The following is a 22709-nucleotide window of genomic DNA, read 5'->3' as shown; positions in this document are numbered from 1 at the left end:
ATGGGAGAGCCAGGATTGAGGCAAGGGTTCAGCAACAAATATGAGACTGTCCAATATACCAAGTTTTCTTGGGAATCTGCCTAGCTTTTACAAGAACCTCCTGTACAGAGTATTTTCATTTGTAAAATGAATTTTGATGAATTCTCTTATTTACTTATTTTCCACCCTACCTCCCTGCTAACCTGGCACCTTTTTGGGATCTTTTACCTATATGAAAGGGAGGATTGTGTCAATCACAGTATTTGACTGATAAGAATTCTAGGATGCATCAAAGATGTAATTTCAGGCCAGGCGCGGTAGCTCACGCCTGTAATCCCAGCACTTGGGGAGGCCGAGGTGGGTGGATCGTGAGGTCAGAAGTTCAAGACCAGCCTGGCCAAGATGGTGAAACCTCGTCTCTACTAAAAATACAAAAATTAACCGGGCGCAGTGGCAGGTGCCTGTATTCCCAGCTACTCGGGAGGCTGAGGCAGGAGAATTGCTTGAACCCGGGGGACAGAGGGTGCAGTGAGCTGAGATCGTGCCACTGCACTCCAGCCTGGGCGACAGAATGAGACTCCGTCTCAAAAAATATATATATATAATTTCAGCTAGGTGTGGTGGCTCATGTCTATAATCACAACACTTTAGGAGGCTGAGGCGGGAGGATTGCTTGAGCTCAGGAGTTTGAGAACAGCTTGAGCAACATAGCAAGACCTTGTTTGAAAAAAAGGAAATGAAACATTACTAGTCCCCAAAAGACCCCTTGTGATCCCATCCAGTCACTGCCTCTTCCAAAAGGAACCATTGTTCTGACTTCTTACCTCGTAGAGTAGTTTTGCAGACTGGGCCAGCTTTTAAGCCTTCTTTAGCTCTTCTGATAAAGCTCCCAAGAACCAAAATATCTTTGTTGGAAGATTGGGTTGAATAGGGATAGTGATATAAGGAGGCGGAGTCACATAATTCCTCTTCACAATGAGAGGTGAGGGAGGACTTACTGAGGAGAGGACATATGATACAAATAAGTACTTAATGTCTAGGAAGCAAGTTTGTGCTTTTTCTATAAAGATGCAGGGATCTTATGAAGATTTTCAAGATTTAAGAACATCAAGAAATTATTGACCTTTTAATATGTCTGCCTCCAGTGAACCTCCTTTCTTTGCTTTTCTTTTGTTCTTTTTTAGACCTCGAGTCCCATAGAAGAGGACTTTGAAGGAATACAAGGTGCATTTGCCCAACCTCAAGTCTCTGGTAATAAGCCCTTAGGGAAGATTCCTTGAGAATCACTTCCCTTAAATTTCTTCTGTTGGATCACAGATGTTTAGAGCTGGGGGGATCCTGAGGGACAGCCTCGTCCAAACCTTTCATTATATGGTTGAGAAAACCAAGGTTCAATGATTTCTCCTCAATAGAACAAATCCCTTCCTCCTCACCAACCTCATGACATCCACGTGTTGTATTATTTATACCTCCCCTTGCATTTTTATAGCAAATGTTGTTGTAGTCACTGCTTTTTCCCCCTTTGGTCTCTCAAGCTTTCAGGCTCCTTGGTGTGCCACATAGCAAGTGCAGTTATCTTTGCTAAGCTGACCTGGGGGATTTGCCCAAGCTACATAGCTAGTTATTAACATAACAAAATTAGAACTAGGTTTTCATGTATTTCTTCTCCCCAGAAGGCAGTGTCACCAGCATTTTCCTTTGCTTGCTTAGCATCTTAGCAAAGAGTTAGTAACAGTTAACAATGCAGATTCAACTTAACATCTACCACTTGGGAGGCCTTGGGTTCTATATAACTTAGCAGGGGCTTTCTTTTAGATGAGAAGGTAGCCTTGGATCAGTAGCCAGGGATGTGGCACCAGACAGATATAAGTTAACTGTTGGCTTTGTTACATTTTTAAAATTGTGTACTCTTGTTCTTTTAAGGTATGTACTCATCTATTTTAAAAGTAGAGTTATCCACCTACCAACCTGTGTAGCTATCCATGGTCATGTCTCAACCGTCTAAACCCAAACAGCGTAGTGTTATGAACTTACTCCCTTCTTCCACTGCATACTCCAGCTTCCAACTGTAACCTTGTGAAGGCCCCTGCCAGAGTTGGGAGCATTTTAAGAAGCTGTAAGCTTTTAGATCAACTTTTACTTAAAGTCTCAGCATAATATGTATTAAAAGTCTCCAGAGCCTTGGGCCACCCACCTCTTCCTGCAGAGCCTCTTTTTTGGACCTGCCTTGTATGTGGCCACTTAACTTGTATGTGGAGGTGAGTTGAGTGGGATGGAAAAGTTTAGGGCAGACAGGTCAGATAACCAGAGCTAGTTTAATACAGACACATGAAGTATGTGAAAAAGTCTCTGATTTCTACTCCATTCACTTCTTTCTGCCCCTCTCTGCCCCCTTTTCCTTCTACTGTTCTGATATATATCCCCTTCCACATGAGAGGACACAACAGGGGTACAGGATGCAGCATGCTAGGTTCCAAGACCCATTCTGCCACTGACTTTTTCTGCATAACCTTCAGCAAGTCACTTCACCCCAGGGCCCTACTTTCCCCTGGTATAAAGTAAAGGAGAGGGTCGGACTCTAAAGTCTCTAAGCTCTAAATGTTGCTTCTTAGGAATTAGTTTATGCTTTCTGGATATTTATCATTTTAAAAGGGTCAGAGGAAGAGGAACCCCCAATGTCTCTCCACTGGTGGGGTTTCAGAGCTCCTTGGTAGCTGTGAAAGGTGGCATTGTTCTGATGGGCCTTCTTAGTGTCTACCAGACCACCTGGACCTAAGGAATGGGATGGGGGTGGGGGAGTCATAGGCATTTGGAAACAGGGCTGGATGCTCCATCTGCCCCCTTCTTTATTAACTAGGACAGTACAGTGGTGGGAAGGAAAATGGATACTGGCCCTGCCTGCCTGGAGCAAAGCATCTTACTGAGAACTGGGGAGGAGTAACTTCAGATAACTTGATGCCAAGAAGAACAGAAGACAGTTGAATTAGCTCCTCAGTACTCAAGACCCCACGCCCACGCCCACGCCCACACCTAGTGTTTGATGGCCAAGTGGCATAGTTAGAGTTCGGGGCTGTTTAGTTAACAAACAGTTCTTGTTTTCAACGCCCCCTGGCGTCTGTTGACAGGAACCGGGTCAGTTTGCCTTCTTAAAAAGACAAAACAACATTTGTCTTCAGAAATAACTGTGGTTATAACTGAAAGGCCAGTAAATAGCTTGATTGTATTCTGAGTGTCAGAATATAGTTCTGTGCTCTGAGCAAGGAAAATAAACTTTCAGAGCAAAAACCTCTTCTACAGCACTCAATCCAAACCCAATTAGGGCAGCACTTTGTTTATCCAGATTATTTCTAATTCTGGACCAGACCAAGGGACATTCTAGGGAATGGTGACAATAATTTGGGTTGACAAAGATTCAGTAAAAAAAAATATATATATATATTTTTAACTTTATTCTTTCAGGTGAGGAAAAGTTCCAAATGAGAAAAATTCTTGGAAAGAATGCTGAGATTTTGCCCAGGTCTCAATTTCAACCTGTACGAAGGTATGGGCTATTATTATCTTATGCAGTTTCAAACTCATAGATGCAATGTTAAATGGTGATAATGCTCCGTGTTTATATATTGCTTGTCTTCAGATGTATTAGCTACTATCTTATAAAAGTTAGCTTTGGGCAGCTTAGCTGTGTTAGGACTTGTGCAGTAGAATTTGAGGGATTGAGTCATCACCTTTACTTAGATCTGACTCTGACTTTCTGTTCATGTGACCTTGTCAAGGTTCTCAACCCCTCTATTCTATTTTCCCATCTGTGAAGCAGGGATAAGAATCCTTACTGAGAATGTTGACAATAGGAACTTAAAGTAATAATATAACTCCTGGGCATTTATCCCAGAGAGATGAAAATTTACATTTACACAGAAATACATACAGGAACGTTTATAACAAATTTATCCATAATACCTCCAAACTGGAAACCCGGATGTCCTTCACCAAGTAAATGATTAAACAGACTTTGGTACATCCATACCATTGAGTGCTTGCTACTCAGCAGTAAAAAGAAATAAACTATTGATACATGCAACAACTTGGCTAAATTTCCAGAGAATTATGCTGAGTAGGAAAAGCAATCCCAAAAAGTTATTTACTGTGTGATTCCATTAATATAACATTCTTGAAATGACAAAATTATAAAAATAAAGAACAGATGAGTGGTTGCCAGGGGTTAAGGAAGGGGTGGGGAAAGGAGGGAAGCAGGCATAGCTGTAAACCAGAAATATCTTTGTGGTAGTAGAAATGTTCTGTATCTTGACTGTATCAATGTCAATATCCTGGTTGTGATACTGTCCTATAGATTTGCAAGATGTTACCACTGGGATAAAGTGGGTAAAGTGTATTTTCTTTTTCTTGAGATAGAATTTCACTCTTGTTGTGTGATCTCAGCTCACTGCAGTGGCGTGATCTCAGCTCACTGCAGTGGCGTGATCTCAGCTCACTGCAACCTCCACCTCCCGGGTTCAAGTGATTCTCCTGCCCCAGCCTCCCAAGTAGCGGAATTATAGGCATGTGCCACCACACCTGGCTAATTTTGTATTTTTAGTAGAGATGGGGTTTCACCATGTTGGCCAGGTTGATCTCGAACTCTTGACCTCAGGTGATCCACCTGCCTCGGCCTCCCAAAGTGCTGGGATTACAGGCGTGAGCCACCGCATTCAGCCAGTAAAGTGTATTTCTTACAATTGCATGTGAATCTACAATTATCTCAAAAGAAAAGTTTAAAAAATTCATAATTGTTATAACGTATCTGGCACAATAACATTCAATTTATTTTATTCTCTCTGGGCCTCAGTTTCCTTAATTATAATTATTGTAGCTAGTATTTCCTAAATATCTAGCATATGCCAGGCACTCTGTTTCATTGTCTGATTTAATCCACATAACAACCCTGTGAGGCACATACCATTGCCTCCATTTGCCAGTAAAGAAAGCAAAGTTCAGAGAGTTTAAATATTTTTTTCTAAGGTCACTCAGCTAGTCAGTCAGGATAGACTAGATTATGCTATATATAGTAAACAACTCCCAAATTTTAGTGGTTTAAAACAACAAGTTTCTTCTTTGCTCCTGCTTCATGTCCATGGCTCATGGGTTGGCCAGGAATGTTCTGTGCTATATTGCCTTCTATCAGACTTAGGCTGAGGGAGGCCCCATTTTTGTGCTTCCTTGATTGCTAAGGCAGGAAAAATGGAACACGGTGAGTTGTGTACTGGCTGTTAAAGTTTCTGCCCAGAAGTGACTCATCACTTTCACTCATATTTTATTGGTTAAAACAAGTTCTGTGGTCATTTATGTAAATCAAGAGGGCCAAAAAGTCCTGTTGTATTATTTAGAAGGAGAAACAAACATTTTTGGTAACAGAATTAATAAAGTCACAACTCAACCCCAAATCCATGATCTTTCATTTATATCACTGGTCTCAGAGGATTTTTGCAAGGATTAAAAATGTGAAGGACAGGCACAGTGGCTCACACCTGTAATCTTAGCACTTTGGGAGGCCGAGGCAGGCAGATCACCTGAGGTCAGGAGTTTGAGATCAGCCTGACCAACATGGAGAAACCCCGTCTCTACTAAAAATACAGAAAATTAGCCGGGCGTGGTGGCGCATGCCTGTAATGCCAGCTACTTGGGAGGCTGAGGCAGGAGAATCACTTGAACCCAGGAGGCGAAGGTTGCAGTGAGCTGAGATCGCGCCATTGCACTCCAGCCTGGGCAACAAGAGTGAGACTCCATCTCAAAAAAAAAAAAAAAAAAGTGAAAACATGGAAGGATTTAGCATGGGATCTGCCTTATAGTTAATGTTCAGTGAGTACTGACATTGAATCTTAAATATTGGTTAAAGTAGAAACAGGTCAAGTTTGTCTTCACTATTCTGGCCATTTTTTGGTACAAGCCTCTCTGGCCTCTCCTGGTACACTATGCCAGGAAGCTTCTTACAGGTGCTGAGGCCTCATGGCTGTGCCCCTTTGCTCCAATATCTTACCTCCCAGCAAAGTTCCTGTGCTCTGTTGATTTTCTCATGAATTTGCTCACAGTCGTATAGAGTCTTTAACTGATTTCAGAGCTGACCCTTAGAGAGTATTTATTCAACTCTGGAGAGAAAAATGAGGCCCAGACATGTCAGAGAACTCGCAGCTAGTAGTACAGCCAGAACCAGAACTCACACTTTTTTTTTTTTTTTTTTTTTTTTTTGGAGATGGAGTCTCATTCTTGCTGCCCAGGCTGGAGTGCAATGGCGCGATCTCAGCTCACTGCAACCTCCGCCTCCTGGGTTCAAGCAATTCCTGTCTCAGCCTCCCGAGTAGCTGGAACTACAGGCACGTGCTACCAAGCCCAGCTAATTTTTGTATTTTTAGTAGAGACGGGGTTTCACCATGTTGGCCAGGATGGTCTCGATCTGTTGACCTCGTGACCCACCCGCTTTGGCCTCCCAAAGTGCTGGGATTACAGACGTGAGCCAACGTGCCTGGCACAGAACTCACACTTTCTACTCCTGAGCTTAGTGCCCTTTCCTCTGCGTCTCACACTGGGCTGATCAACTGGTTCCTTGTAGCAAGTAGTTAGTGTACTTTGTTCACAGAGGGGATTTATGTAATTTTCTTACTTTCTTTCTCACAGTACTGAAGATGAACAAGAAGAGACATCAAAGGAGTCACCAAAGGAACTGAAAGAGAAAGACATGTATGATCACCAAAGAGAATGCCTAGGGATGCTTGTGTAAAGTCTTGGTTTTAAGGGAATAGTATATTCTTGTTTGTAAGGATCTTTCCATTTTTACGTGTAGACTTAATGTGAGTATGCTGCTTCTTTCACCAAAAAGTTGTTATCAAATTGGTGATATGATTTATAACTAATAGCAGCTTACACTCAAGGAAATGTAGTGATGATAATAATAATCATAATAATAATAAGTTTACGCTTAAGGTAGATTAAATCTGTTTTCCACGTAAATATCCTGGAAATATGGAATATTTCATCTATGGAAATAGTTTATTTTTAGCTGCTGATATGTTTAAAGTTACAGTATCTAGCAAAGAAAGTCTCTATGGTGCCAGGTGTGGTGGCTCATGCCTGTAATCCCAGCACTTTGGGAGGCTGAGGTGGGCGGATCACCTGAGATCAGGAGTTCGTGACCAGCCTGGCCAACATGGTAAAATCCCATCTCTACTAAAAATACTAAAATTAGCCAGGCATGGTGGCACACGCTTGTAGTCCCAGCTACCCAGGAGGCTGAGGCAGGAGAATCACTTGAACCCGGGAGGCGGAGGTTGCAGTGAGCCGAGATCATGCCATTGCACTCCATCCTGGGTGACAAGAGCAAAACTCTGTCCCTGCCGCCAAAAAAAAGTCTCTTTGGTAATAAAGTTACAATCTCTTTTAAATATGTTCTCTAATATTCTCTTTAAGATACATAAGATGTTCTAAGATATTCTCTAATTCTGGCCTATTGCCACATACAAATTTTGTTAAGATTATACTTAAAAAGTACCTCTCAGGAATATATTGTTTGATTTTTCTAGTCATCTTCTCATCATTACTGTGTGCTCTTAATTCTTTAGATCATTGACGGATATTCAAGACCTGTCTAGTATCTCCTATGAACCAGACAGCTCTTTTAAGGAAGCTTCATGCAAAACACCCAAAATAAACCATGCACCTACCAGTGTCAGCACTCCACTCAGCCCAGGTAATCACAGGGAAGAGAAGTGTTTGGGGAGAAGGACTTACAGCCCCAGCCCATTGTCTCTGGGAAGCCAAGCCGTGGTATCAGAGCTGGTGGCTGTGTTGTCATAGTGCAAAGGTTTTTCTTTAGGGCCAAAACTGGGTAATCCCATTGTAGGCCAGGGGGCGGGGTGATGGTGGTGGTGATTATTGGGCAGCCGTTAGGAGGTTTTGGTTAGAACTGCAGTGGTAAAGCCATGCAAATGCTACATCTCCTCTAAGCACTACTGAATTTAGTACAAAAACATTGAGCTTTGTAGAGTTTGCAACTTAAAACAGTACCTTGTGCTTAAACTTTATATAGTTCTTAAGTCCTGCAACCATATGCAACCAGCATCAAATATCCTCTCTTTAGTGGCCTTACTTCCAATATATTTGTGGTTTAAAAAATCACCGTTTATTTTATTTTGGTAAAGTTTAGAGGCCAAGTTTAGAGACTATTATTTTTTATACCATGAGGAGCTGTGTCTCAGATCAATGATTGTTTCAGTAATTTTTTTTTTTTTTTTTTTTAAAGACAGAGTCTCACTCTGTTGCCCAGGCCGGAGTGCAGTGGCGCAATCTCGGCTCACTGCAAGCTCCGCCTCCCGGGTTCATGCCATTCTCCTGCCTCAGCCTCCCGAGTAGCTGGGACTACAGGCGCCCGCCACCGCACCCAGCTAATGTTTTGTATTTTTAGTAGAGACAGGGTTTCACCGTGTTAGCCAGGATGGTCTTGATCTCCTGACCTCGTGATCCACCCACCTCGGCCTCCCACAAAGTGCTGGGATTACAGGCGTGAGCCACCGTACCCGGCCTTATTTCAGTTATTAACAATTTGGAAAATCCTTAGTATAGGTATAGGTTTGTGGGTTTGGATGTTTTGTTTGTTTGTTTGTTTGTTTGTTTGTTTTAATAATGTAAAAGATTCATTTCTGCACATCATATTGGGGCAGAAAAAACAAAAACAAAGGGAAAAAGGAAAAAAGGAGAAATAATATAAAGGATTCAGACAGTAACCTTCCGCTTTTCTCCAACAGGGTCCGTTTCTTCAGCTGCCAGTCAGTATAAAGACTGCCTTGAAAGTATCACATTTCAGGTTAAGACAGAGTTTGCCTCTTGCTGGAACAGTCAAGAATTTATTCAAACTTTGTCTGATGACTTTATAAGTGTCCGAGAGAGAGCAAAGAAACTGGATTCTCTCCTTACTTCCTCTGAAACTCCCCCTTCAAGACTGACTGGTCTTGTAAGTATATCAATTCCACGTTACAAACTCATGGAGTCAGCCCAAAGGGCCCAGTGACCCAAACTGCCAAGATTTCTCCAAATTCATTAAGAAAGCAAGAAATAAGCTGGGTCCTCTCCTGGCTTGCCTGGGACTCCTCTCTTGAGTCTATATTATGGGAGGCTTAAGTTTTGCTTCCTCCTTAAAGCCTTCCCTGGTTACTTCCCTGAGAGTTTTGATCGATCTCTACTGTTCTCTGAACTCCTGAACTAATAACCTGCAGGAAAAACACTTAATCATATACTGCCTTCTTCTCCTCCTCTTCTTCTACTTCTTCCTCCTTTTTTTTTCTTTTCCTCTCCCTTTCTCATATGTGTACCCTAGTCAGGAAAACTACAAGTTCTGGCCAGGCACAGTGGCTCAAGCCTATAATCCCAGCACTTTGGGAGACCGAGGCGGGCAGATCACTTGATTTCAGGAGTTTGAGACCAGCCTGGGCAGCATGACGAAACCCCATCTCTACAAAAGATACAGAAAATTAGCTGGGACATGGTGCCATGTGCCTGTAGTTTCAGCTACACGGGAGGCTGAGGTGGGAGGATTACCTGAGCCCAGGAGGTCGAGGTTGCAGTGAACTGTGATTGCACCACTACACTCCAGCCTGGGCGACAGAGTGAGACCCTGTCTCCAAAAAAAAAAAAAAAAAGAAAAGAAAAGTACAAGTTCCTTTATGAAAAATTGATTGTCAACTTTTTTGGTATTTGGCTCAAAAAAGGTCTCACTTTGAAGTAGGGAGATGACAAGGAATTTTATGTGTTCATTTAACCGTTAATTGGGCAGATTCTAAGTGCCAAGCACCATGTCAGGCCCTCTTCAAGGCATCCAAGTGTGAATAAGAAAGACATGATCCCTGCCTCAAAGGAGCTCACTGTCTAGTGAGAAAGACAGGCCTGATGTAACACAGCGGTAAGTACTGAGTGCTGAGGAGGCAGTCAGGGATAAGGCTTCCCAGGCCAGATGCAGTGGCTTATGCCTGTAATCCCACCACTTTGGGAAGCTGAAGTGGGTGGATCATTTGAGATCAGGAGTTTGAGACCAGCCTGGCCAACATGATGAAACCCCGTCTCTACTAAAAATACAGAAAAAAATTTGGCTGGGCGTGGTGGTACACACCTGTAATCCCAGCTACTTGGGAGGCTGAGGCAGGAGAATTGCATGAACCCGGGAGGTGAAGGTTGCAGTGAGCTGAGATTGTGCCACTGCACTCCAGCCTGGGCAACAGAGTAAGACTCCATCTCAAAAAAAAAAAAAAAAAAAAAAAAAAAGGAGGCTTCCCAGAGGAGGTGACATGTGAGTGAGTTTGACTTAATCAACAAAACAACTGGAAATGACTGAGCTGCATATGCCTTTTTAGCTCAACACACATGACAGTTACCATGTTTATCTCTTCCTTATAGAAAAGATTGTCTTCATTTATTGGGGCTGGATCCCCCAGCCTTGTTAAGGCATGTGACTCATCACCACCCCATGCCACCCAGAGAAGGAGCCTGCCTAAAGGTACCCTGTGTTTAATATCAAAATAGAAGTTTATAATCAAGGAGGCTTAAATTGATGCTTATCAATCTTTGATGCCACATTAGGTTCAGACAGAAATGCTGTTTTCCCCATGATTATAAAAGTAAAACACACTCATTGTAGGAAACTTGGAGAATAAATAAAAGCTTAACAAAGAAGGTGACTATACACTTTTTTAACCTCATGTACTTTTTTTTTTGCATATCTTTTAAATATTTTTATAAATATATAATAATATGTTTTAGCATAGTGAGATCATATTGTGTATCAGTTCTGGACTGCTTTATTCCCTTGTTATATTTTGAGGCTTTTCCCTTGTTATTAAAAATTGTTCATAAATATATGTAGTAGTTATAGTCCATTCTACATGTTGCTTAACCATTTTCTTATGTTTAAGATTTATATCATTTTCCAATTTTTGCTCTTTATACATAAATTTTTATCTGTACCTCTGATCCTTTCCTTAGGATAGATTCTTAGAAGACAGTTTCCAAATCACAAGGTCTGAGAATATTAGCAGTCTTGAGGCATATTACCTTTATTACTTTAATTTTAACGTCTTCTGTCTTTGGTATAACTCTTGGAATTTCCCTCAGGGGGATAGGGATTTTGTGAATTATGTTGAGGTATTTTGGTCAATGTTATAATTGAGCACTTGGGGCAAGACCCAAAGTGTGGTTGCCTCTAAATCCCCTGGCCTGATAATATTTAGTTAAAGGCCTCCTACTTTGTGCTTTTGTTCATTTTGACTGGTCCAGAACCTCTGTATTCCTCCAGCAGCCCTGGTCCAGATTGAGCCACTTAGTAAGAATTTGTACCTTACCTCCTCCAAATATCCTTAGGAAGGGAGGGGCATAGATCAAGCAGTACCAGGGTAAGGGCTGATGTAGGAAAGGAAAGGGATTGGGGTAGAAGTGGGGAGTAAAGGCCATTCACATGTTAGGAGGTCTCTACTGGAACTATTATGTAAGAGGCTTCCTTCCTCCTTAGTTTGTTTCATCATTGAGAGAAATCCTCAGTCAAGTCTATGTGAGAGCCGAGAAAAATTCAGTTCAGGTCCAGGAGGGTGTTAAGACATTTTCCCTTTTGTCTTTTTTAAAAACTAGTAGAAGCCTTCTCACAGCATCACATTGATGAGCTGCCACCACCATCTCAGGAGCTACTTGATGACATTGGTAAGAGATGTTCAATACAGAATATACTTCTCGGCCCTGTTAGTTATGTCACTGACCACAGTATGGTGTCTTTGTCTCAAGTGTGAACACTAGTATAAAAGGCTGTATGATGGCCTGGTTGAATATAGGAAGGGGCAGTTTTCCAAAATTTAGGAAGGGGCAGTTTTGCAATAAAATGAGCCACAGCCTGGCCAGGATGATTGGCTTGTGTCAGTTGTCATTTTGTTACTTAAAGGACTTATGTTGATGAATCTAAGGGGAAGTAACATTCAAGTGGTTTATTATGATGAATTTCTTTTATTAAAGGAGTTCTTATCTCCTTTTCAGACCAAACCAGCCATTCCTTTGAGGCCTGAGGTCTAGCTTCCCAGGCCAAGACACCTGTGCTTTCAGTTTTGCCATTAGCTGTAGGTATTAAAGGTATTGAAATTGTGAATAAATCCCCTTCCTAAGAACAGGGAAGTCAGTGGCACAAAACCTACAGAGACCAGAATTTTCAGGCAGAGCAGTTACCAACCAAATTTTATTTGCAGCTGATTGGCTGGCCCTGTCCAGCTGGTCTGATGCTGAAAGTAAATGTTACATTGTTATGGAAACTGGGGCAGGTGGTCTGTTTTCCTAGGAAAGACTTGACTGCGCCTTTCTTGACAGCCTGGCCAACCAGCCCTTCACCCTCAGAAAATGCATCTCATCAGACTCTGGATAGTCCAGTTCTTGTTATGGGACCTATAATTTCCTGAGGGGCACCCCTTGGTTTTCAGGGTCTCTGAGGTCTTGGGTTTCATAAAGGAGGAGGTAAATCAGAATTTTCAGGTCTGACTCAATGGACAGCTCTCTTCAGGGTCATTATCATAACCCTTAGCTCCTGTCCCTTGGCCTGATGAACTTGGGTGGAGCCAGTCAGTGCTGTCAGACCTTCCTTGGTTTCTTTCTTTTTCCATGGTCATAGGACCTTTCTTGCTTCACTTTACCCCTCCCCCAGTGCCACAGTGTTGTAGAGTCACAGGGTTGTTGGGTCAGGCTCTTAGAGCCCACACTCCCACCCCTGCTTTCCATATCTGGGATTCCCTAGGCAGTCCTTGCAAATTCCTCCTCTTTGGTTGCTCTTCTTAAAATAACAGAACTGCTGAGAGTGGAGGTCACCCCACACATGTCCTGCTCAGGTAGATTCTTAGTATCATTTGTTCCTCGGTCATGATTTAAGGCAGTATTGTAGGCTCCTTTGCAGTTTGATCATAGCTGATACTTTTTCTCTGGATCCTGCTGTCTTCCCTCTATAGTTGCTGTGTAAACCTTCCATTCACCTCCTCCATTTCAGCAGCTGTGTTACCAGACTTTGTCCTGGGCTCTGGCCTTATGGTGCTGCTGCACCCCAGCACAGTCTGCAGAAGCCTTCCCTCATTTCACTTATGGGAATTATCTGGACCAGGTTTCTAGGTAATGTCTGCACTTTGAGATGGGTCAGTAATTTTGCAGAAGGATAAAGGGCAGAGGGCACTTGAGTAGTTTCTTCTGATAATGGGCTTGCCTGCCTGATTACTATATATCATCACTCTGTTGTTTCCCTTAAAGAGACCTTTGGGGAGTTACTGGAACTCTCAACTGCTATTTTGGAGGGCTCACATCCAAAGCTCTAGGCTCCTGACAGGTGCCTAAAGTGGAAGGTTCTTTAGAACTAGGATACAGATGATCATTTAAGATCTGCGCAGGACTACTTTTAACAAGGACGAAAATGGATTTTTTAAATTTCAAATTATATTAAATGATCTTATGGGGACCCTTGACACCCATGGCTGCCAGGTAGGACTGCTTCCTGCACTGCAGGAAGGGAGAAGACCTGCACCAGCACAGAAGAGGACCATGCCAACGAGCTCAGGGTGGCTTGTCTATGCTGCCTCCCAACTTGCTTTGCTTTGCAGAGCACTTTGAGGATAAAGCAGCATACTGAGTTAGCAGATGCTTGTCTTAGTCTAGTGAGTATTCCTTGCCTTGCCTTTTTCCTTTCCTTTCCTTTTTCCTTTCCTTTGACAGGGTTTCACTCTTGTTGCCCAGGCTAGAGTGCAATGGAGTGATCTCAGCTCACTGCAACCTTCACCTCCAGGGTTCAAGCAATTCTCCTGCCTCAGCCTCCCGAGTAGCTGGGATTACAGGCATGAGCCACCATGCCTGGCTAATTTTTTGTATTTTTAGTAGAGATGGGGTTCACCATGTTGGTCAGGCTGATCTCAAACTCCTGACCTCAGGTGATCCACCTGCCTCAGCCTCCCAAAGTGCTGGGATTACAGGTGTGAGCCACTGCTCCTGGCCAGGCTGAGTATTTCTTTAGGAACTGGAAATGATGGATATTCTTTGCTTTCAATCTTTTCTTTTTCTTTTCCTTTTTTTTTTTTTTTGAGACAGAGTCTTACTCTGTCACCCAGGCTGGAGTGCAGTGGCATCATCTCGGCTCACTGCAACCTCCACCTCCTGGGTTCAAGCAATTCTCCTGCCTCAGCCTCCTGAGTAGCTGGGATTACAGGTGTGTGCCACCATGCCCGGCTAATTTTTATTTTTTTAGTAGAGATGGGGTTTCACTATGTTGGCCAGGCTGGGCTCGAACTCCTGACCTCAAGTGATCCCCCTGCCTCGGCCTCCCAAAATGCTGGGATTACAGGCGTGAGCCACCATGCTCAGCCTGCCTTCTGTCTTTTCATAAACCAGGAAAAAAGTATGAAATATAGGTGAATAGAGATGGGGAAACATTTAGATTGTTTTGATGTTACTAACTTTTTGAGAGACTATAAAATAGAGATTAAGAGCATAAACCTTAGAGCTAGACTGCCTGGATTTTTACCAATTTTACCACTTACTGTCTGTGTGATTTTTAGGCAAGTTTCTTAACCTAAATTTCCTCATCTGCTAAATAGGAGTAACAATAACACAGTCTATTTCAGAGGGTTGTTGTGAAGATTAATTGTGAACATTCATCCTGAATTAATGTATGCGAGTGCTTAGAAACAGAACCTGACACCTGGGGTTCTGCAAGTGTTATGTATGATCATCATCATTTCTATTTTGAGTGTTGTGTGGGATTTTGTCATACCTAAAGAATTCCTTTCAAACCTGGAATGCCCTAAAGCAGTGGTTCTCAAATTTTATCAGACATCAGAATCACATGAAGGGCTAAGTAAAACACACATTGCTAGACCCCCAGAGTTTCTGATTCAGCAGGTCTGAGATGAGGCCTGAGAATTTGCATTCCTAACGAGTTCCCGGGTTATGTTAATGCTGCAAGTCTAAGGATCACCCTTGGAGAACCACTGCTCTAGAGAACGGCAGGACACGCAAGGGAGGAAATAAGTTTCCTTTGGCTTTTGTGTTGTGACAGAGCTCTTGAAACAGCAGCAGGGCTCATCCACGGTGTTGCATGAGAACACAGCAAGTGATGGAGGAGGCACTGCAAATGGTAAGTGAACTACCTAGATTGTTTTCATCAGGTTCTTTTAACGCTGTCCTTGGCAACACAGTGGTACATATAGGGAAGTGTGACCTTGAGGTCAGGCACAACTCCACCTCAAGTCTGACTTTATAGTTATTTGTATGGCAAGCTGTTTTACTGTTTCTGAGCCTCAGTCGTCTTAATCTGTAAAATGGGGACAATAATTTCTGTCTCATGAAGTACATATTAGCTCCATGTACAGAGCCATGTACAAGTACTAACATTTTCAAATACTTAGCAAATGTTAGTCCTCTTCCCTTTATAGGACTGCTGGCAGGATGGAATGAGATAGCATATGTAAAATGCTTGGCATACATTAAAGGGTACATCCCTTCCCCACCCAAATTCCTTTCCTGGAGCTCCAAGTTAGAAACATCTAACAAGTGAGAACAAGATGGTCCCCAAAGTAAATTTGTGCAATTTGTTTTCATGGTTGCTTGCCTCCTCTTTTATGTGCCCTTTCTTTCTTCAGCTTCCTCTGTCTTCCTTGAGCCTTGGCACAAGCAAGGTTTCCTGTAGCTTCACCTGGCACTGAAAAGCTTCCAAGACCCCAGAAGCAGCTGCTGCAAATGCAGGTGGCCTGCAGACTGCCACCTGGCCCCCTGCTCTCCTGGGAAGAGGGGAGCTAATGCATTGCACACTTCAGGGACCACTGATTGGCCTTAATTTTTGCACTCTATTTTAAGGCAAGCTTTCTCAATTTTTTTTTCGTTCTAATAAAGTTAATTCTTTCAACTGTTTTTAGATCAAAGGCACTTAGAAGAACAAGAAACTGACAGTAAAAAAGAAGATAGTAGTATGCTTTTGTCCAAAGAAACTGAAGATCTTGGAGAGGACACAGAGAGGTAACAGGAAAAGCTGGACTGTTGAAAGGATTTAAAAAATTGTATAGTTTATGTTAGGTTTTTTTCTAATATTGACAAATAAGAAAGAAAAAAAGTGGGGTCTTTTTTCATACTATCCTAATAGCCCCTATTCCTAAAGGGTTACTTTTTTAAAAAGCGTTGCTTTTTTTGCTTTAAAAATGTTTAATTGTGATACAATGTATATAACAAAATTTACCATCTTAACCATTTTTAAGTGCACAGTCCAATAACCTTAATAAGTATATTCACATTGTTGTGCAACTAATGTCCCAAACCTTTTCATCTTGCAAAACTGAAACTCTATACCCATTTTAAAACTCCCCATTTTCTCTTCTTCCCACACCCTGGCCACCACCATTTTGCTTTTTGTTTCTATGAGTTTGACTACTGTTGATACTTTACATAAGTGAAATCATACAGTATTTGTCTTTTTGTGACTGGCTTATTTTAACTTAGCGTAATGTCCTCAAAGTTCATCTGTGTTGTAGCACGTGTCAGCATTTCCTTCTTTTTTAAGGCTGAATAATATGTTTCATTTATCCAGTCATCTGTTGATGGACATTTAGGTTGCTTCCACCTTTTGTTATGGTGAAGAATTCTGCTGTGAACATGAGTGTACGGATATCTCTTTGAGATCCTGCTTTCAATTCTTTTGGATATATACCCAGAAATGGTATTACTGGATCATATGGTAATTCTATTTTTAATTTTTTGAGGAACTGCCACACTATTTTCCATAGCAGCTGCCTCATTTTACAGTCCCACCAACAGTGCACAAGGGTTTCAGTTTCTCCACATCCTTGCCAACACTTGTTATTTTCTCTCTCTTTTTGTGGGGGTGGAGGCTTTTTTTTTCTTAAATATAGTAGCCATCCTAATGGGTGTGAGGTGGTGCCTCACTGTAGTTTTAGTTTTCCCTTCCCTAATGATTAATGATGTTGAACATCTTTTCATGTGCTTGTTGGCCATTTGTATATCTTCTTTGGAGAAATGTCTGAGTTCTTTGCCGTCTGTGTGTGTGTGTGTGTGTGTGTGTCTGTGTGTGTGTATACATATATATGTATACATATATGTATGATCTATATATATGTATACATATATATGTATGATCTCTCTCTATATACATACATATGTATGATCTTGCGCTCTCTCTCTCTCTCTCTCTCTCTCTCTCTCTCTCTCTCTCTCTATATATATATATATATATATATATATATATATATATAAATTAGAGATGGGCTTTATGTTGCCCAGGCTGAACTTGAAGTCCTAGGCTCAAGTGATCTTCCTGCCCCATCCTCCCAAGTAGCTGGGACTACAGGTGCAAGCCACCATGCCTGGCTCTTTGCCTATTTTTTGATAGGGTTATTTGTTGTTATTTTCTCTTGAGTTGTTTTTAGGGTTTTGTTTGTTTATTTTTACTTCATTTTGTTAGGCAAACACAAGTTTCAGTCTCTTTCAAAACATTTTAGTTAAAGGCCTTAGAAGAGAAAATGGGGGCAGTCTTCCAGACAATTCAGTCTAAAAGTACAAGGTTGCCTCAAGAAACCTGACTCTGTTCCTGATTTGGAGCTCTTTTTGCCTGTGTTGTAGGGTAAACTACTTCAGCTCACCTCCTCTGCCTCTTGACTTCTCTTGAACTATCATTATTCGGGGCCAGGACTAGGTTAAGGTGAGCTCAGGAGATAGACTCCTTGGATACAAAATTGAAGGGAGCACCAAAAAAACTCAGTAGTCAAAATAAGTAATATTTTAGTGCAATTTTTTTTTTTTTTGAGACAGAGTCTCACATTGTTGCCCAGGCTGGAGTGCAATAGGGCATGAACACCACTCACTGCAGCCTTGATCTCCTGGGCTCAAGTGATCCTCCTGCCTCAGCTGCCAAGTAGTTGGGTCTATAGGCTCATGCCAACATGCCTGGATAATTTTTGTATTTTTTGTAGAGATGGGGTTTTGCCATGTTGCCCAGACTGGCCTTGAACTCCTGAGCTCAAGTGATCCACCCAACTGGGACTCCCAAAGTGCTGACATTACAGGGGCCAGGCGCAGTGGCTCACACCTATAATCCCAGTACTTTGGGAGGCCAAGGTGGGTGGATCACTTGAAGCCAGGAGTTTGAAACCAGCCTGGCCAACATGGCAAAACCCCGTCTCTACTAAAATTATATATAAAAAAATTAGCCAGGCATGGTGGCACACACCTGTAGTCCCAGCTACTCAGGAGGTTGAGGCAGGAGAATCGCTTGAACCTGGGAGGCAGAGGTTGCAGTGAGCTGAGATGGTGCCGCTGCACTCCAGCCTGGGCGACAGAGCGAGACTGTCTCAAAAAAAAAAAAGAAAATTAAGCTCTTTTTACGTGATCAAAAGTTAGCTATTATTATTGTTGTCTCTTCCTCTTCCAAAAGGGCCAGCAGTGCTGGCCACAGATAGATGCCCCACAGATGCTCAGTCATCTCAGTGCTGTGAATGATCAATCTAGGCACCAAGCCAGAGTGGAAGACATTTTTTCAGATGAGCAGGACTTTCAGGCATTCTTAAAATACTCTACCCTGCATCTTCTAGCCTTTTCTTGGAAAAACATGTAGGAAAGCATGTATAGTTCTAGCCTCAGGTAGAAAACTAACTCAGTGACCTAGAATTGAGACAGAGTCTACCATCAGACTTGGGGAAGCAGTGATCTTAATAGGTGCTAAGGCTTTTTGTCAAGGGATTAAAGGACTATTTTGGTGCATATTTCTTCTTTCTTTCTTTCTTCTTTTTTTTTGAGACAGAGTCTTGCTCTGTCACCCAGGCTAGAGTGCAGTCGCGTGATCTCGGCTCACTGCAGCTGCCGCCTCCTAGGCTCAAGCCATTCTCCTGCCTCAGCCTCCCGGGTGGCTGGGATTACAGGCGCACGCGACCACGCCGGCTGATTTTTGTATTTGTAGTAGAGATGGGGTTGGACTGTGTTGGCCAGGGTGGTCTCAAACTCCTAACCTCAGGTGATCCACCCACCTTGGCCTCCCAAAGTGCTGGGATTACAGATGTGAGCCACCACACCCGACCAGTGCATATTTCAGTCAGATCTAAGTGACCTCTATGACTCCAGACACAATCTCACTGAGCTCTTGTTTTTTCATACATATAGTGAAAGCACAGGTTTTAAGGTCCCTTTCTACTCTAAAGTGTTATGCATCTTTGTCAAGGGGGATGGGAAATGACTGTTGTCTCCATTCTCTTCACTTGTCCTTAAACAGAGCTCACTCTACTCTGGATGAGGACCTGGAAAGATGGCTGCAGCCACCTGAGGAGAGCGTGGAGCTACAAGACCTTCCCAAGGGCTCTGAAAGGTTATTGTTCCCCAAAGGGGAATCCTTTTCTTCTTTTTCAGGAAGTGGGGCTAGGTTTTAGACTTCTTGGAGAATGAATGCCTGATGATGGCATTACATTGATTTAGATAAGCCAGCCCTGACTCCACCTGTCTGCACTCATATTTGCCCCTCTTCCTCTGACCACCCACAGTACTCAAGATATTGATTAGCAGATTCATATCATTATAGACAGAGGCTTCTAAGTTTGCTGTATCTTGGCCCTGCTACCTTTGACATTTTCATCAGTCATGTGAATTAAATCAGAAAAGGTATGCTTATCAAATTTTTAGATAACACAAATCTAGGAATGAATGCTGATGTGATGAGTGATAGACTGAGGATTCAAAATCATCTTGACAGGTGGAAATGTTAGATTCTGTAAAAGATAAAGGTCAAAGATCCAAAATTACAGAATGTGTGAGACCTGGTCTAACTGGAGAAGTTTTCATCAGAAGCTTCTGCTCACTATAATTTTACTGAGGGCAAGAAGTATGTCTTATTTTTGTATGCCCAGTAATGAGCCATGCATCTTGAGACATGATGAGAAGTCAAGAAATTCTTCCTGAGGAAGGCATGGGCAATGACTCTGTGAGGCCTGTTTGATGAAGTGCTGAAAAGGTCAATGCAGCATTGATGCTGGATATATAAAAATGTACTGTCCAGATGACGGTAATGTGCTGTTCAGAGGAGTCCTAGGACACATGTGGGGCTCCATTCTGGGTATCACATTTTAAAAGGGATATTAACAAACACAAGAGTGTGGCTACAGAACAGTCAGAGGTCTGGAAACCATGTCATATGAGAACAGCTGAAGGAGCTGAGAGGCTCAGCCTGAGAAAGGCAGATGGAATGGAGAATTTGATAGCTGCCCTCAAATACCTGAAATATTGCAAAGTGAAGAGAGTCAGCTTACTTGTCTGCCCTAGAAGACTAATTAGTGACTAGAAATTGCAGAGTAACAGATTTTTATTCAATAAAGCACAAACCTAATAGCCACAGCTATCTGATAAAGGGAAATAGCTGCCTGCCTTTACACTTATTTTAGTAATGGTTACTGCTGCTCAGGCAGTGGCTGGATGATTCCCTGTCCTGGGCATTTGAACGGGGGCGGAATATAACCCAAAGGCCTCCTCCAACTCTTGAACCTGTGATTCTATTAGTGGGAAAATATTAAGAGGGGAAAAAATCTCTCTTCACTCTAGCTGGCTTTATTTTCTCTCTCATTTTACGTATTTTGTTTTGACTATCCACCAAATGAAAACAGAAGAATCCCTAAACAATGTTATTTTGGTTCAACCAGCATCCACCGAGCACTGACAATGTCCAAAGCACTGTGCTAGGGGCTAGAGGTACCACAAAGAGGGATAAGATGGCTCTGCCGCCTATAAGGAGTTTCCAGTTGGGTCGGGGGGATGGTTTCTGCTTAATAGATTGACAAACATGGTCTTAAATTTTGAGGTACTTAAATTATTTACATATTTCACTTAGGAGAGAGTTTCGGGAAATGAAGATAAGATGATAAAATAAATGATGGTTTTGAAAGGGACACCAATCAAAACTTAAGTAAAATGCCTTTTTTTTCCTTTGGAGCAGTATAGCATAGTGGTTGAAAGCAGAGTCTAAGGCAGACTGAGTCTAAGGTCAGAGTCTAGCTCTAGGAATTATTAGGTGTGTAATTTAACTTCTCTGTGCCTCGGTTTCCTCATTGCTTAATGGGGATGGCAGTGGTAACTACCTTATATAGTTATGGGAATTAAATGAGTTAAATTATAGCACTTAAACCAATGCCTGGTGCATAGAGAACACTCTTGTTAGTGCTAGCTATTATATGGTTTTGTTGTTGTTGTTGTTGTTGTTTGTTTTTTGTTTTGAGTACAGTCCTGTTTTCTTGGCTGTTGTGTATACGTTTTGATTCCCCAAATAATTGTTGTTACAGGGAGACAAATATCAAAGATCAAAAAGTTGGTGAAGAGAAAAGAAAAAGGGAAGATAGCATTACACCAGAAAGAAGGAAATCAGAGGGTGTTCTAGGGACTTCTGAAGAAGGTATGAATTAATGTATGTTTATAATGTAGTCTGTAGTCCTTGGGCTTTGATGTGCTTCAAAGTTATTTAGAAATGTTTCCCAGATGCTATACATAATCCTCCTACCTTTGATAATTTATTTTTCTCTGCAGTTCAGCTCAGGTTTTCTGTTAATTGCCAATCATAGCTTTATCACAAAAACAGTAATAACATCCAATTCTATTTCCAAAGCAAGCTTTTGCCCAGTCTCATCATCATTATCTTGCACGTTGTCTGGGGAGACGTTTTGCTGCTTCTTTTTTTTTTAGACAGTTTCACTCTTGTTGCCCAGGCTGGAGTGCAGTGGCACGATCTCGGCTCATCGCAACCTCTGCCTCCTGGGTTCAAGTGATTCCCCTGCCTCAGCCTCCTGAGTAGCTGAGATTACAGGTGGATGCCACCATGCCCAGCTAATTTTTGTATTTTTAGTAGAGACGGGGTTTCACCAGGTTGGCCAGGATGGTCTCGATCTCTTGACCTCAGGTGATCTGCCTGCCTCGGCCTCCCAAAGTGCTGGGATTACAGGTGTGAGCCACTGTACCCGGCCGATGTTTTGCTTCTAATTGTCCAACGTCTTCCAAAGAGTTTTAAATTTAGCTCACATAGATGCTTCAAAATCCAGTAATAAATCATATTTTATGGAATTTAAGTGGAGTCTACAAGTAATGTGAAAATTATAAATTAACCTTAATTTTAAAACTATTTTGATAGATTTTGAAGGCTTCTGATATGCCCTTTACAATGACGCTCTCCCATATTTAAGTTCTTCCTACTCAGGAAAGTAAGAGACTTTAACTCTTTCAGATCATCTGGTATTCCTTTCACCTCTTCCTGATTTCCTTCTCATTCTCCCCATCTCTGCCCTGCTTTGTGCCCCAGAATGCTGACCCTAGTGGACTGCATCTCCTGGGCTTCCTGTTTGCCAATGACAGGCCCCAGCAGAAGATTAGTGGGGCTAGAGAGAATTTGGGGTATTACTTTGCCTCACTGCTTACTTCAGCACCTTGTGCCTGGTAGAAGTGGTGTCTCTCCACAAGTGCGGCTTCTGTAGGCAGTCCATTCTTCCCAATTCCAGCTCTCATTAAGGTCTAGTAACTGACCTCTCATCTCCAACACTCAGTTCCTTCAGACTTAGGCTTCCCACTGCTGCTAATCACTGGATGCCTTGACATTCCTTGTTTGTTCCCTTAACTCTAAATAAACCTCTGTATGTAGTCACTTCACTAAGGATCTTTATTTGAACCAGCCG

General features: G+C 42.2%; 1 protein-coding gene and 1 long non-coding RNA gene across 4 annotated transcripts in view, besides 1 other annotated feature; one reads left to right on the top strand and one right to left on the bottom strand.

Annotated features, from left to right (window-relative positions):
- TEX14 (testis expressed 14, intercellular bridge forming factor) overlaps positions 1 to 22709 on the top strand; it is a 135368-nt gene that overhangs the window by 111151 nt on the left and 1508 nt on the right. For all 3 annotated transcript variants that reach the window (NM_031272.5, NM_198393.4, NM_001201457.2), the window contains 11 exons: positions 1164 to 1230; positions 3439 to 3520; positions 6646 to 6708; positions 7587 to 7714; positions 8769 to 8974; positions 10411 to 10510; positions 11635 to 11703; positions 15071 to 15148; positions 15927 to 16026; positions 19283 to 19375; positions 21333 to 21442. In NM_031272.5, the coding sequence (NP_112562.3) occupies positions 1164 to 1230; positions 3439 to 3520; positions 6646 to 6708; positions 7587 to 7714; positions 8769 to 8974; positions 10411 to 10510; positions 11635 to 11703; positions 15071 to 15148; positions 15927 to 16026; positions 19283 to 19375; positions 21333 to 21442 (1096 nt within the window). The remainder of the gene's footprint in view (positions 1 to 1163; positions 1231 to 3438; positions 3521 to 6645; positions 6709 to 7586; positions 7715 to 8768; positions 8975 to 10410; positions 10511 to 11634; positions 11704 to 15070; positions 15149 to 15926; positions 16027 to 19282; positions 19376 to 21332; positions 21443 to 22709) is intronic.
- LOC107985048 (uncharacterized) lies at positions 668 to 7122 on the bottom strand. The gene is made up of 3 exons (XR_001752952.2): positions 6632 to 7122; positions 6011 to 6119; positions 668 to 2065 (listed from the first exon to the last, which is right to left on the bottom strand). It is a non-coding gene; the product is annotated as an uncharacterized LOC107985048 (long non-coding RNA).
- Positions 9840 to 10040: a silencer, noted in NCBI's record as "peak2918 fragment used in MPRA reporter construct". NCBI's record gives its function as "represses an SCP1 promoter by STARR-seq MPRAs in K562 erythroleukemia cells {active_cell/tissue: K562}" and the evidence as "EXISTENCE:reporter gene assay evidence [ECO:0000049][PMID:32103011]".

The sequence above is a fragment of the Homo sapiens genome, chromosome 17 (genome assembly GCF_000001405.40).
Source record: "Homo sapiens chromosome 17, GRCh38.p14 Primary Assembly".
NCBI lineage: Eukaryota > Metazoa > Chordata > Mammalia > Primates > Hominidae > Homo > Homo sapiens.
This window is presented reverse-complemented; position numbering and strand designations above follow the sequence as displayed.